This window comes from Homo sapiens, chromosome 1 (genome assembly GCF_000001405.40).
Source record: "Homo sapiens chromosome 1, GRCh38.p14 Primary Assembly".
Lineage (NCBI taxonomy): Eukaryota > Metazoa > Chordata > Mammalia > Primates > Hominidae > Homo > Homo sapiens.
Window position 1 is genome coordinate 21,600,960 of NC_000001.11, and position 13,760 is coordinate 21,614,719.

Genomic DNA, 13,760 nt, shown 5'->3' on the forward strand with positions numbered 1-13,760 from the left:
CCTTCCCGCCACCACCCAGCACAATGTCACAATGTCTGTCCAGGCCCAGCCCCTCAGATACTCTTTTTTTTTTTTTTAAGCAATGGAGTCTTGCTATGATGTCCAGGCTAGAGTGCAGTGGCTATTCACAGGCATGATCATAGCTCACTGCAGCCTCCAACTCCTGGGCTAAAATCATCCTCCTGCTTCAGCCTCCCAGGTAGGTGGACTCCAGGCATACGTCACCACTCCCAGCCACCCTTCTTTCTGTCCCTGGAGTGTGCCCCAGGCCTCTGCACTGGCCGAGCTCCTCTGCCATGCCAGTCCTAGCAGGGCTGGTTCAGTTCCCAATTCAAATGTCACCCCATGGAGGTGTCTCCCCGAGGACCCATCTAAAACACCTCTGCCCCCAGTCCCTCTTCATCCCCCCAACCCTGCTTCGGGTTCCTCCTATCACCATGATCCGGCAACAGCCTATGAGGCCGCGTTCTGATGGACCTGCGGCCGTGAGGCGGGGACCTATGCGCAGGGCACCTCTGTGCTCCAGAGCCGGGCGCGGGGCTGGGCGTGCACAAAGTGCTCGCTGGGTATATGTCAAAGGAGGGCCCCAGAGAATGCCCAGGTCCCCCTGACACCCTGCTGTGGCACAGTCAAGGCTCCTGTGCTGTCCCGGGCCCAGGCAGGGGAGGGGAAGGACGGTTCACCACTCCCAAGCCCCCAAGCCCCACGTGCCCTGAGCCCCAACCTGTTCTTGGTCGTGGGCATCTCTGGGGAGCTCTGAGTGGATGAGTTCTCCGACTTGGGCTCCTGTGAGACGTGCCCGCTGTCTGGGGTCTTCTGACCAGCCGGAGGGCTCTCCCTGCGGGGCACACGGGGGCAGCGGGGGGATTCAGCACCAGGCCTGGCATCAGGCGTAGCGTGAGGCCCAGGCGGTGAGGGGAGTCACGGTGCCTCCTGCCTCATACCCACGCCCCTATACTCAGGGCCAGCCCTGGAGCAGTCTTGTGGGCTCCCTGGCTAGCCTGGCCAGTGATGGGGTTGGCACTGATGGGGCTATATGGGACAGGATGGGACTCCTCCCAGGTCCTCTCCACAGGAGCAGGTATAGCTGTCCCATTATGGATAAGGAACCTGCCCAGGGACGCACAGCTAGGACGTGGCAGTGCCAAGACCTGAACCCAGGACTCACAGCATGCGGAGCTCTGGCAGCAGCAAGGACAATGCCCACTCCCGTCCTGGAGCCCTCTCAGGGGACCTGGCCCTGGCCTCACACGCAGTGCCCTGAGTCCCCACAGCAGCCCCATGCCATGGGTTGTGTTCTTGTCCCTTTTCCAGGTTGGGACAGTAAGGCTCAGAGGAGGTCAGTGACTCGCCCAAGGTCACACATGGTTAATATCGGGGAGGCAGCCGGGAGCTAGCCTCTGATGTCCGGGGGCAGCCCTGCTGCTGGCCTGGGCTCACTGCCCTCATGCTGCCCACACTCATGGACCCCCCAGGCCCATCTGTGGCCACCCTGAAAACCAGCACTAGGCCCTCCCACATGCGCTGGGGCCGTGGGAAGAGCACGGATGCTGGCCCTAGACAGATCAGGGCTCAGATCCTAGCTCTGCCCATCACTGGCTGTGTGATCTGGGCAAGCCCCTTGACTCCTCTGACCTACCGCTTCTTGATCTGCATGTGGCACGTTAGGTGACGTGCTGGCCCTGGTGCCCGACACGCAGCAGGGACTTGACCACACAGCTGTCACTAGTGGGGATGGAGAGGCAGAGGGGCGGGCACTCCCTTCTGCCTGCCTTGCTTTGCCACCGAATGGGGCTCAGGGATGGGGATGCAGGGGAATGGGGCACTGTCCCCCACTCACCCACCTCTTCTCCTGCACCTCCTGTATGTTCTCGATGCCAATGGCGCTGCTGCGGCGGGAGCCGAACGGGCCCGACTTCTTCCTCGTGGGGCTCTTCCCAGGGACAATCAGTGACTGTGGGGAGAGGCCCCAACTCAGTGCCACCTTACCTGGGAGCCCCAGTGCCCCCCCCACATCCCCTCTGGGGATCCTGCTGCCCCAGGCCCTGAAGCAGAGTTGATGAGCAAGAAAGAACGAGAGAAGATATCCATTCCCAGAGACAGCCTCCCAGTTTACGAAAGGGAAACAGTCCCCAGGAGGGCAAGGGGCTCTCCCGAGCTCACACGGCAGGACTGCACGTCAATACTGGCCCAGGATTAGGACAGCATCCTGAGGGGGCTAGGGTGGGAGGAGGCCGAGTCCTCAGAATGGCTACCGCTCCCCGCCCCCCAGGGCTCTGTGGGATCTGCAGCCTAAGGGCAGTGGTCAGAGGGCAGTGTAGCAACCCAAGTCCCACCCCGTGCCAGCTAGGGCCCCTCCCCGGAACCTCCAAATTGGCTGGGGGAGGTTCTGGCCCAGCAGCTGGAAGACTCCCCCAGCTTCCCACACACTGTGCTGGGATGCCCCAGGCCCCAGAAGCCCGCCCCCAGCTTCTCTGGAGGCAGGAAGGGGTAGGACCCCAGGTCACTTCGTGGCGGGGAGGAGGAGTCAGGGCAGAGGAGAGGGATGGCGCTCCATGCAGACCGGCGATATTGGGGGACGTGCGGCTGGGTGTAGGGCCTTTGGGTACCGGATCCTGGCAGGGACTGGGCCAGGGTCCCAGGGGCCAAGGCAGGGCCAGAAGCCCCTGGTGAGGGGCACTGGCTCTGGCACAGGTACCAGGCCCCAAAGCAGGTGCTGAGTGCCATCGGAGCTGCCGCCACTCCATCCCGCACGCCCTGGGGCCTGTCCCGGGGGCAGAGGGGCAACGTCCCCAATATGGCCTCCGTCCTGAGAGCGAGCAGAGAACAGCGCGTGCAGGCAGCCTCCAGAGCCGGCGGCCCCGCGGACGACAACCTCTTCCACGGTTCCTATGCCTATGGCACTGCCCCGGCGTCCGAATCTACTCGCACTTTTCCCAGGAATAAGCAATGACTGGCAAGCAGCAGAGGGCGGGGGCAGAGAGAGAGAGACAGAGAGAGAGTCAGAGAGCAAGAGAGATGGTGGGAGGGAGACACAGAGAGGAGGAGAGGCAGGGAAAGGAGGAAGACAGACAGAAAAAGGAAGAGAACGGTGCAGGAGGCAATGGGAGAGATAGGGCCGGGGAAAGGAAGGCGAGAAGCACAAGGAGAGACAGAGGACAAGGGAGACGGGGGAGAGATGGACAGACAGTTACCCGGAGACAGGGACACGCGTGAGCCAGCGAGGGCACACCAGATGGGCACAGAGGGAAATCCAGAGAGACAGGGACGCAAGGACACAGACACAGGCCCAGGGAGGGTCAGAGACAGAGAAGGAAGCCAGGGGAAGGCCGAAAGGAAAAAGCGAGGGTGAGAAGAGCGGAGAAGGGAAGGAGGAGAGGGAGCAAAAAAGACAGGTGCAAGAAGGAAGGAGAAACAGAGAGCCAAAGGGCAGAGAGGCCACAGGACGGGGAAAGGGAAGGGAGGAGGGAACAAAAAAACAAGGAGAGAGAGTAGAATGAAAGGAGGAAACACAGAGAGAGGGAGAGTTGTGCAAAAACAAAACAGAAATGGGTCCGGTTACTGCCATGGTGGGTGCTGCTGGCCTGGTCCTGTCCCTGGGGCCCCTCTCGGCCACCCACAGGAGGCTGGGTCACTCTGGTGGAGAGGAAGGGAGTGGTTGATAAAACTGGGTTGGGGGAGGTTGGGCCTGCTCCTCGCATGACAGTGTGCTTGGTGACTGCTGGACAGCAGAGGTCGGGGAATTCCCTCCTGCCACGTGACATAGCCTCACAGCACTGAGCGCAGGGCTTGGCATGCAGTAGACAGTCAATAAAGGATGGATGGATGGATGGATGGATCGGTGGGTGGGTGGATGGATGGATGGAGATAGAGGGATGGATAGAGATGGATGGATGGATGGATGGATGGATGGATGGATGGATGGATGGGTGGATGGGTGGGTGGATGGATGGATTGATGGGTGGATGGGTGGGTGGATGGGTGGGTGGATGGATGAGTGGGTGGGTGGGTGGATGGGTAGATGGGTAGGTGGGTGGATGGGTGGGTGGGTGGATAGCTAGATGGGTGGATGGGTGGGTGGATGGATGGATGGGTGGGTGGATGGATGGGTGGCTGGATGGATGGGTGGGGAGCACAGCAGTGGGTGCAGTGTCCTGGGGTGGCCACTAGGCAGTGGACAGCAGTGAGGCCCACAGCCATAGGCCGTATTCATCCATGTGCCCAGCACTCCTGAGTGTGAGCAGCAGAATCCCAGAACCTGGACAACAGTCAGTGATCACACAGGAGGTGCTCCCTCTGGAGATGCTCACACAGAAGCCAGATTCCCGACACACAATAGGCAGCCACACCACAGAGGCCCTGGCTGCTGCGGACACACAGTAGGAGGTGCTCACAGAGAAAGTACCCACACAACAGCTCACTTCCTGACACACAGTAGGTGTTCACTGACATCTAGGGCTTATCACACACGATGTGCTCACATAGCAGTCCATTTTCTGACACACAGTAGGTTCTCACACAGCAGCCCAGGGCTGCGCACACAGTAGGCGCTCACAGAGTTGATGCCCACACAGCAGCCCAGGACCTGACACACAGTGGGTGCTCACAGGTACTCAGGGCCAGGCCCACAGTAGATGCTCACAGAGTGCATGTCCACACAGCAGCCCAGGGCCTGACACACAGTGGGTGCCCACAGCCCGACACACAGTAGGTGCTCCCAGAAACCCAAGGCTTGACAGTAGGTGCCCACACAGCAGCCCAGTCCCCAGCAAACAGATAGATACTCAATAAGGAATGAGACACAGAGGCTGTCCCAGGGCTGACCTGCAGGAAGTCACACCTCAATGCATAAAGGGCCAGGAGGAGGGGAGGGCCAAGGAGCTTGGGAAGGGGCTGCAGGCTGCAAGCTGTCAGCACCGCAGTGTCCTGGCCTGGGCACTTCACCCCCCTCCCATGGAAAGTAGTGGCTAGACCAAATCCAGAGCCTAGGATGGGCATGTGGGCAGCAGGGCAACAGAGAGAGTTGGAGTCAGGCCTCAGGAGGCAGAGGAGAGCTGAGGGCCCCCCAGGGAGGGGCCGGGGCCTGGGGAGGGGGAGGGCACTCACTATTCCAGCCGCCTTGGCCAGGTCGGGGTTGTTGGGCGCGAAGCTCCCGCTGTGGCTGGTGGACACGGTGTTGGGCTTCTTGTTGCTCAGCCCCATGGCATCCATGGACTGGCTGCGGCTCCGGATGACCCGCTGTGAAGGGGGTGGCAGTGGAGGAGGCACAGGATTCCTAAGGGCCGTCCCCTTGGGGAAACCCAGGAGCCCAGGCATCTGGTCTCTCCCCAGCAATGCCACTCTGGGTAAGCCCTGGAAATCCCTTCCCCTGGGCATGTGGCCAGCAGGGCAACAGAGGGAGGTGGGGCCAGGCCTCAATTTCCCTGTGCGTCACATGAGAAGCAGGTACATACGGGGCCTAAGGGTAGCTCAGGTATTGGCTCTGCCACCAACTTGCCGGGTGGCCTTGGGGACACCACTTCAGTTCTCTCACTCTCTGGGACACACAGGCTGCTCTGTGCTGAGTGTCCTCATGTGGCTGCGTAAGGACTGCAGAAGACACTGGGTCATGGCCAAAAGTGTGCACAGAGAGCCCTCTTGACACCTCAGTTTCATTCCTGTTAGGGCCTCTTAGAGCTCTCCTGCCTTCTTTCTTTTCTTCCCTCCCACCCTCTTTCCTTGTTTTTTTCAGACCAATCTACACCAAATGCTTGCTATGGGACCAGCGCTTTACAATCACTCTATCACTGGATCCCCCTGCAAGATGGGGACTAGCAATCATGCCCATTTCATGCCAACTGAGGCAGGGGTGAGCCCGGCATGCCAGGACCCATGCCCTCAACTCTGGACTCCGCTGCTTCTGAGAAATTCTTTGACCTAATCTAGGTCCACCGTCCAGCACCTACCAGATGTGGGACCATCGGAGCCCTCCTCAAAGGAGACACCCCAGATCCATATTGACCCCACCTGTCCTGTCTCCAGTCCCCAAGCCTCTTTCTCAAAGACGATCTGTTCACCTCAGTTCCTGGGCAGGCCTGGGCAGCCGGGCTAATTCCCTTATTCCAACCCATAGCTCCAGCTGTGTGACCTGTCCTGGGTTGAGGGTGAGGTGTGACCAGCCGGCCGGGAAGCTGGAGGATGGGCAGTTATCCTCCTGTGGGTGGAGGAGACGGTGGCAAAAAGGCTACCACCTGGGGCCCTGTGGCCTGAGTGAGTCCAGACCCTGTCCAGGAACTACTCCACTCCCCACACTTCTCATTTCAGACAACATTTGCTGAGGCAGACAGGCAAGGTTTTGCATTTTGCTTTTAAACTTGTATTGCACTAACCTAACTCTTTTACAGATAACAATAACTGTATGAGGCAAGTTGCCATTACCCTACTCAACAGATAAAGAAACTGATGCTCACAGAATGCCCAAGCTGGTAAGTAACAGAGCTGAAATTTGAAGTGTCCGTGCTCTTAATGCTAAGCTAAACCAGGGACAGGCAGGGTAGGTCACACAGGCCAAGTCCCTCTCCAATGATCATGGTTCACACACCTCTTCTGAGAACTCTATTTCTTTCCCTCAGTCAAGACAGAGCCTCTTCCTCTCTTCTCTTCCTGCTGACCTAGCAGCCTTTGTACCAGCAGCCCTTGCTGTCTCCCAGAATCCTCCACCCTTCAGCAGAATTCCCAGGTGAATTCCCCACCTAGGCCCCACCTCCAACAGTTACTCCTCCCCAAGCCAGGGCCCCACCTTACATGCTGCTCCTTCAAACTCTACCCAAGGCAGACTATGTCCCCAAGTGTAAGCCCATTCTAAAGCCCAAGTCCACTTCGAGCCCCGCCCTCATCCCAGACTAGAGCCTCCTCTAGCCACACCCCCACGCCATGTCCATTAGCCCCGGCCCCTGACTCCACCCCCAGCCACGTCCCATCCCAGACTCTACCCGCAGGCGAGCGGCCTCTAGCCACACCTCCACACCATGTCAATCAGCCCCAGTCCGGGACTTCGCCCCAGCCACGCCCCCTCTCAGACTCCAATGCGAACGGCCTCTAGCTGCACTCCCCATGCTGTGTCAATCCCCCAGTCCGGGACTCCACCCCCTCAGCCACGCCCCTTCTGCCAGACTCCACCCCCACGCCGTGTCCATCAGTCTATCAGCCTCAGCCCGGGATTCCGCCCTAGCCACGTCCCTGCTCCCCGGCCAGTTAGACCTGGGGCCCTTCACCTTGAAAGACTCAAAGAAGCCGCCGCCCCCACTGCCATTCTCCATCTTGTCCTCGTCGCCGCCCAAGCCCATCATGGACTGGCTGTGGATGTGTAGTTCCTCATAGAGCGTCTCCAGGAGGGCGGCCCGCGTCCGCTCCTGTGGGCCAGGCCCGGGCCGTCAGGAGGGACCCCAAGGATCAGCCCTTCGGCCCACAGTTCAAATCCTGGCCACCTTCTGAGGCACGGGCCACCTTCTCTGAATGAGTGGGGAGTGGGGAGGGCGGAGGGCTCCTGCACCGCCTTCCCCCAGGCCACTCCACAGCTCAAGCATCCCCCAGGGACCCTCATATGAAGGGCCCCTCAAAGCCCCTTCAAGATCTGGCTTCATGTCCCCACCCCCCAGGTCCACCCCCCCACCTGACAGGTCCCAAGGTGTCCCTGTCAGCCTAACCGCCTCCCAGCATCTCCTGGGAACTCCTCAGTATCCCTCCGGCTTCCTCTCCCCGACCTCCTACTCGTCCATCAATCCATCCAGCCCCAGGTGTCCCCGCTAAGGCCAAGGTCTGAACATGGCTTTTCCCTTCCCAGGGACAGGGCTGAAGTTATAGGTTGGAAGGTGAGAAGAGGGTCACCCAGCCCTCACAGCCCATCCTCACCTCCAGTTTGGCAAACTTCTCTGCCTTGTAGCAGGCATATTCAGCATTGATCAGCTTTGTCAGCAAAAATTCCTGGAACTCAGGCCCCTGGAAACTCCCAGTGTGGAGGAGATAAGGAAGGGAAGTTGAGATGACACATAAACAAGGGTCGGAACCCCAACGAGGCAGAGGCTGCAGCTCCTGAACCATGCTCTGCTGGGGCCTGGGGTCACCCTCTTCACTCCCAAAAGGGTATCTCCCTGGGCTCAGCTCCCCAGGTACCTTCAAGGGGCCCCAGTGCCCTTCATGGCTGCCCACGCCTTCGGGAGAGCAAACTCCACAGATGTTAGGGTCTGGGTTGGGGTCTCAACCTACTGCTTCAGTCTAGGGTAGCAGAACACGCTACGTACAGAGCTGAAGCCCAGGCTTGAAGTGTGCCCCTCCCCAAACATTTTAGAAGAAAGAAAGAGACTGGAACTGTCAGAAAGAGAACAGAAATGAGGAGAGGCCAGTCTACTATGGAAAGTGTAAAACAATCGTGTAGTTTATCCTGTGACCTTGTGAAAAAAAAAAAAAAGGTGTTTTCAAGATGAATGGAAAAGCCAGGCCCCGGTTGCAGTTAGGGGAGCCCAGCTGCCCTGGCATACAATGAGACTTTGGGACCTCATAAGGCAGAATGTGTATGCACCCCCCAGGCCCCCACCCATTTGTCCTGCTCTGCCCATGACTGGGGGGGTGCCCCTCACCTTCCTGAACACAGCGGGGTCCGGGAGGGGGGGTCCAAAGAAGGGCACATCATCTCTTGCAGTGACAGAGACCTGGAAGGGAGGGCAGCTGTCTGTTCCTGTGGAGCCTGGGGTCTGCTCTGCCCCACCCAGCCAGAAACCCCTACTGTGCCTCCCTGGACTGCCCCTTGGTCGGGGAGACCCAGTGACTGTGGGCTGGATGAATCTTTCTTCCAGAGATTTCTGCCCTCTATCTTTTGCCCTGAATTTTAGTGGTGGAGATGGGTAGGGGCCTTAGGAATCATCGGGATGGTGAAGGCAGAGGAGGCTACGGGAGGTGGAGGACAGTGATACCAGGCCAGGAGGCAGAGGAGGGAAACTGTCCTCTCTGAGGGGGTGAGCTTTGGGGACGACAGGGGGCGTGGTGTGAACAGTGCACCATTGAAGCCTTCCATGGTCCCCCCATTATAGCTGGAAAAAGTGAGGCTCAGAGGGGCATCCCAGGGAGGGCAGAGCTGCAGCCAGGGCCCTTGCTGATGCCCCTGGGAGGCTCCAAGAGCGCCCACCTTGTAGAGGGGGCCATCAGGGCCCCCGCCCTCAGCCTGCACCACGACGTAGGCATGCAGGAAGTTGGACGCGATCATGTCGGGCACGAAAGGAGTGTTCTCATCCTGGAAGACCACAGCCACGATGTCGTTCCCGATGTGCCGCTTCCGCTGCAACTGAGCACAAAGCCACGGGCCTTCGTGGTCTGGCCAGAGGGGGCCCATGGGGGAGAGGGGTGCCCACGGGGGTTTAGGAGGGTTTGGGGTAGTCAGAGGGCACATCTAAGGATTTGCTTTCCCCAAAATAATGTAGCAAAAAAACTTGTCTTAAAACTATTTTAGTTGAAAAATGGCCTGTTTGGAACAACGTACACTCTTTAGGTGATGAGGGTACACTAATATCCCAGACCTCACCACTATTCAATTCATCCATGTAACCAAAACCCACTTGTACCTGGATATCTATTGAAATTACAAGAAAAATTATTTTAGTTTTCTTGGGATGCTGTGGCAGATGATGATATCAAGGCCGAGAGAAGTGACTTGGAAGGTGCTATAATGAGCTATAATGAGCTTGGGGACTCGAGCCCAGGTCTCTTGGTCCCCAGACCCTACCTCTCAGCCCTTCTCCTATCTCAATGCCCCAAACATGGCCCCCAATTGAATAAACAAGCTCAACTTGGTATACATTCATGTTGCTAAAATGAACACAGACCCTTAGTAAACGAAAGTCAAAAGACACTAAAAATAAGGAATAGCTATTTCCATTTTTCTCACATTTCCTTTTATCCCCCTGGGCTGGGGACCTGACTGGGAAGGCAGATAGCCCTGTAGGAGGCTCAGGACAAGGGGACACGCTTCTGAGTTCAGTTCCTGGCACATGCCTTGCATGTCCTCGAGTCCAGGCCTTTGTAGAAGCTGTTCTCGCCACCTGGAACATTTCCCTTCCTTCTCCCAGCTCCTTCACGGACTAAAAGTCACTTTCTCTTGAAAGCTTTTCCTGACTCCCACCTCTGCCAAGACTACATGTCCCCACATGACCCCATGATGCTCTCCACTCCCCATAAAACACCAGCTCAGATCTGCTGAACTCTTGCAATGTACTAGGCACTGTTCTAGTCCCTCTATGCACCCACGCATTTATGCTCACCTAGGAAGTGGGTGCCATTCTGACTGTAGAAACCAAGGCTTTCTGTCTCCCCTGACCCAACGAGACCCCACAAGTGGGGGCGCTGATCATTTCCATCTCCATCCCAGGGCCCAGCGCTGAGCCTGGCGTGATGGAGGCTGAACAGACAGGTGGAGGGGGAGGACAGGTGGAAGACAGGAGGCAGGTGGGGGTGCCCAGGCTACCTGCTGGGCGTCCCCTTCCGTGTATGGCAGCTTGGTGGACACGTGAAACATGATCTCCTTGTTGCGGAAGTTGCAGTACACAGATTCGGTCCCCGTCTGCCCGTGGGTCACGTCCAGGCCTCCTCGGAACCTGCCCCGGGGCCCCCCAGGCCACGCCTCAGTCTCCAGCCCTGGCCAGGCCTCCATGGGGCCAGGACAGGGGCTCCCTCCCTGCCCAGGAGCACAAGTCAGATTACACTCTGCTCAGCCCACCCTAATACTCACCCCTTAAAGTCCTGCAGTTTGACCTTCTGGCCAAGAAATTCAAGGAACTCCACGAAAGCGGGACTTTCCTCATTGGTGCTGAAGAGTTCTTCCTCGGAGGTCTGGGGATGAGGGGCCAAGGTCATTGAGCTGGAGTTCCTGAGAAGCCCCTGCCCTCTGTCCCTACTTGGACCCAGAGAGGGCCGGAGGGAGGACCTCTGGCAGCCCCTGGGCTCCTGAGTCCCTTGGCCGGTGTGCTGCCCTGGAAAAGGTGTGAGGCTCCAGATATGGGGCCAGGTGGGGAGGGGCGGCAGGGAGGAGGTGAGCACACCTGCCCAAGCTTCTGATAAATGACGCCAAACTTGAAGTTATTGCTGATGACATGCTCGTCAAAGGTGACGATGAGCCGGGAAGCCTGCAGGAGAGGACGCCGGGTGAAGAGGCTGCGTGTGCAAGCTGCCATTCGACGTGCTCTTCCCCCGTGCCAAGCACTGAGCCAGGCGCTCTACACACGTCACGTCATGTGATTCTCAGAACAAGCCTGGGAGGGAGACAGTCCAGCTGTCCCCTCTGAAACTCAGGTTCAGAGACCTTAAGTGACTCACCTAGGGTCAATGGCTTGCAAGCACATGCAGGCTTGGGATTTGACCCCAGGTCTGTTGGATTCCAAAGCTTAAGTTCATCGCTCCTGAGTTTTGCTGTGAGCCCCAGTCCTGCCATGCCAAGCCCACCCCTACTCCACTCTAACTCCCAACTCACTCCTCGGCTCCTCTGTAAACCCACATCATCCTCCCAGAACAGGACACGTCCCACCAATTTGCTGTGGGCATTGAGCAAGTTCTCCTCCTCACCTTAGGCCTCAGTTTCCTCTCCCATAAGCAGGAGGGGGGCCCTGATTTCTGAAGCCCCTTCAGGATACCTTTCCTGGACCACACCACCTCACACTGCTCCAGAATTCAGTCAGGGACCCAAGGGTTTACCTGTCTGTCCTCTTCCAGGAGGTGCCCCTGGCTCATCCAAGGCAGAAGCCCGTGCCCCTATCCCCACACTGTCACAGTGCCTAGAGCCCAGCTACCAGCATCCGAGCAGGAAGTGCCAGGGCTATTCTCTCTCTATAGGTCTCCTCTGGGATAAAAAGGCAAGGCCGGTAGAAAAGACACCCATTCCAGGGGAGGACTATGGCACAGCTTGCTCTCAGGAGGGTCCCCAAACATCACAGAGGTTCCAGATGTGAGGCCAGCCTCTAAGGCAGACAAACCGAGGCTTAAACGCAGGCCCTCCTATCTGCTGTGCACCCTGGGGGAAGGCACAGGCCCTTTCGGTGGCTCCTCTTCTGCAAATTGTGGACTTCACAGGGTTATTGTGAGGATTAAATGAGAGAACCTTGGGAAAGTATCTGGCACACAGAAGGTGCTTAATAAATGCTCAGTCTTCCAGTTACTCACCCACCCTCAGTGAGCTGTGCCCAGATCCAGCCATACCTTGGGGTAGAGCACAGGATAGAACCGATCCACATTGACGTCTTCACACACCAACTGCAGGAGGAGATAAGGGAGGGGTGTGAGGTGTGGGGCCAGGGAGGAGAGGATGGGGCTGCCTGGGCCTCCCTGGTCAAGGTCTGGGGAGGAGCCATGCTGGGAATGGCCAAGGCTAAAGCAGGACTCGGGGTTCACTGTTGCTCAGGGAACGGAGGTCCCCTGAGATCTGAAGGTGCTATAGAGAAAACCAAAAGCACACAGGCAGGGGACGGGGGCCTAGGAGAACACGTGGCAGCCCAAGACACGATGGGAACAAGTGAGAGACAGCCTCAGGATAGGGCGGCAGGCCAGGGCTAGGGCCTACAGCTGAAGGGGACGCGCCAAGGCAAGCTGAAGCCCCACAGGTGCCCATCTGCGGAGCCAGCCCGGGAAGCTCAGCGGAGCGGAGACCTCACCTTTGCCATCTGGACAACATTAGGGAACTCGGTGAGGCAGGAGATGGGGATGACATCATGGTATGTCCGGCACTTGGTCCTGAGAAGAGAAAGTCACACGATGAAGGCCTGGGCAGCAGGACAGGAAAATGGGAACCCCACCCCCCACAAAGTAAGGCCAGAAGGGGGTGGACCACAGCGAGGACCAGAGGTGATGATGGGTGTCAGGCTGACTCGGGTACTAACTTGCTGTGCAACCTCAAGCAAATCCCTGCCCCTCTATGGGCCTTGATGAAGAGAGTGGGTCAAATGAGATGGGCTCTGAGATTGTAAGACCTCAGCCCTTCCTGCCATCTCAGGACTCCCCCACCACCCTCACCTGAGCAGCAGCCGCAGGTGCTCTTGGTCCCCGATGACATCGTACTTGAGTGAGAAGACAAGGTGGCCGAGGGCAGCGTCCAGTGAGTAGTAATTGAAATGCTCCTGCAGTGGGAGGTGGGGGCCAGGGGAGTGGGTGAGGCTGAGCATGGGGCTTTTGGAAACAAGGCCAGAAAGCCAACCCACTCCCAGATGCAGGTCCTTCGCCGATAGCAGGTGTCACGGCTGATAGCAGACCCCACATCAGACAGACCTGCACTCAAAGCCCCACTCTGCCACTGACCAGCTGGGCAGCCTGAGGAGGTCACTTGGCCGCTCTGTGCCTCACTTTCCTAGTCTGCCAAATAGGAGGGAACCCTGTACTTTGGTGGCAGCCAGGACTGAAAGGGATGAAGTGCTTGGCTCAGTTCAGTGAAGGTGGGTAGTAACGCTGGATCTCTGGGTGCTCATCGAGTCTGGACCATATTCGGACCTGCATGCCTGTCTTCAGCCCTGGTCCTTCTCAGGGCTGGGCACCCAGCAGGTGCTCAATGAGCAAAAGCTGATTGCCCAACCTGTGACTCTGTGGCCCCTGAAGCCAGGGCCCATGAGAAACAGGAAGCGAAACATCTCACAACACACAGGGTGGCTGGCCAGGCAGGTTTCCACCCTCCTGTCTCACCTGGAGGAGAGGGCACAGGGTTGGGAAGACACCCTGGGGAGTATCAGGGGTGGCTGCGGCAGGGATGGCACCCC

At 58.3% G+C, this 13,760-nt stretch overlaps 1 protein-coding gene across 121 annotated transcripts in view, besides 5 other annotated features; it reads right to left on the minus strand.

Moving 5' to 3' along the window:
• The window catches only part of RAP1GAP (RAP1 GTPase activating protein), a 73,137-nt gene that overhangs the window by 4,739 nt on the left and 54,638 nt on the right, over positions 1–13,760 (minus strand). For 36 of the 121 annotated variants that reach the window (NR_170901.1, NR_170916.1, NR_170908.1 and 33 more), the window contains 13 exons: positions 13,027–13,130; positions 12,669–12,747; positions 12,217–12,270; positions 11,067–11,150; positions 10,757–10,857; positions 10,493–10,622; positions 9,161–9,316; positions 8,616–8,687; positions 7,891–7,977; positions 7,254–7,391; positions 5,107–5,238; positions 1,845–1,954; positions 725–838 (listed from right to left, as the gene is read on the minus strand). Coding sequence is in view for 94 of the 121 variants with exons in the window: in NM_001388247.1 (NP_001375176.1) it covers positions 725–838; positions 1,845–1,954; positions 5,107–5,238; positions 7,254–7,391; positions 7,891–7,977; positions 8,616–8,687; positions 9,161–9,316; positions 10,493–10,622; positions 10,757–10,857; positions 11,067–11,150; positions 12,217–12,270; positions 12,669–12,747; positions 13,027–13,130 (1,361 nt within the window). In the remaining 27 variants the exon portion in view is untranslated. Of the gene's footprint in view, positions 1–724; positions 881–1,844; positions 1,955–2,698; positions 2,954–5,106; positions 5,239–7,253; positions 7,392–7,890; positions 7,978–8,151; positions 8,347–8,615; positions 8,688–9,160; positions 9,317–10,492; positions 10,623–10,756; positions 10,858–11,066; positions 11,151–12,180; positions 12,271–12,668; positions 12,748–13,026; positions 13,131–13,760 lie in introns of all 121 variants that reach the window. The other 85 variants (NR_170915.1, NR_170900.1, NR_170920.1 and 82 more) reach the window with 20 other exon arrangements.
• Positions 1,289–1,518: a silencer, noted in NCBI's record as "fragment chr1:21928741-21928970 (GRCh37/hg19 assembly coordinates)". NCBI's record gives its function as "represses an EF-1alpha promoter that drives an FKBP-Casp9 reporter gene in an ReSE screen in HepG2 liver carcinoma cells {active_cell/tissue: HepG2}" and the evidence as "EXISTENCE:reporter gene assay evidence [ECO:0000049][PMID:32094911]".
• Positions 6,937–7,231: an enhancer, noted in NCBI's record as "tiled region #12165; K562 Activating DNase matched - State 5:Enh". NCBI's record gives its function as "activates a minimal TATA promoter and a strong SV40 promoter by Sharpr-MPRA in K562 cells {active_cell/tissue: K562}" and the evidence as "EXISTENCE:reporter gene assay evidence [ECO:0000049][PMID:27701403]".
• Positions 7,100–7,149: an enhancer, noted in NCBI's record as "active region_335". NCBI's record gives its function as "activates an Ori minimal core promoter by ATAC-STARR-seq in GM12878 lymphoblastoid cells {active_cell/tissue: GM12878}" and the evidence as "EXISTENCE:reporter gene assay evidence [ECO:0000049][PMID:35858748]".
• Positions 10,065–10,812: an enhancer, noted in NCBI's record as "H3K4me1 hESC enhancer chr1:21937517-21938264 (GRCh37/hg19 assembly coordinates)". NCBI's record gives its function as "activates a minimal SCP1, AML or CMV promoter by ChIP-STARR-seq in primed H9 embryonic stem cells {active_cell/tissue: H9 hESC(primed)}" and the evidence as "EXISTENCE:reporter gene assay evidence [ECO:0000049][PMID:30033119]".
• Positions 12,124–12,416: a silencer, noted in NCBI's record as "fragment chr1:21939576-21939868 (GRCh37/hg19 assembly coordinates)". NCBI's record gives its function as "represses an EF-1alpha promoter that drives an FKBP-Casp9 reporter gene in an ReSE screen in HepG2 liver carcinoma cells {active_cell/tissue: HepG2}" and the evidence as "EXISTENCE:reporter gene assay evidence [ECO:0000049][PMID:32094911]".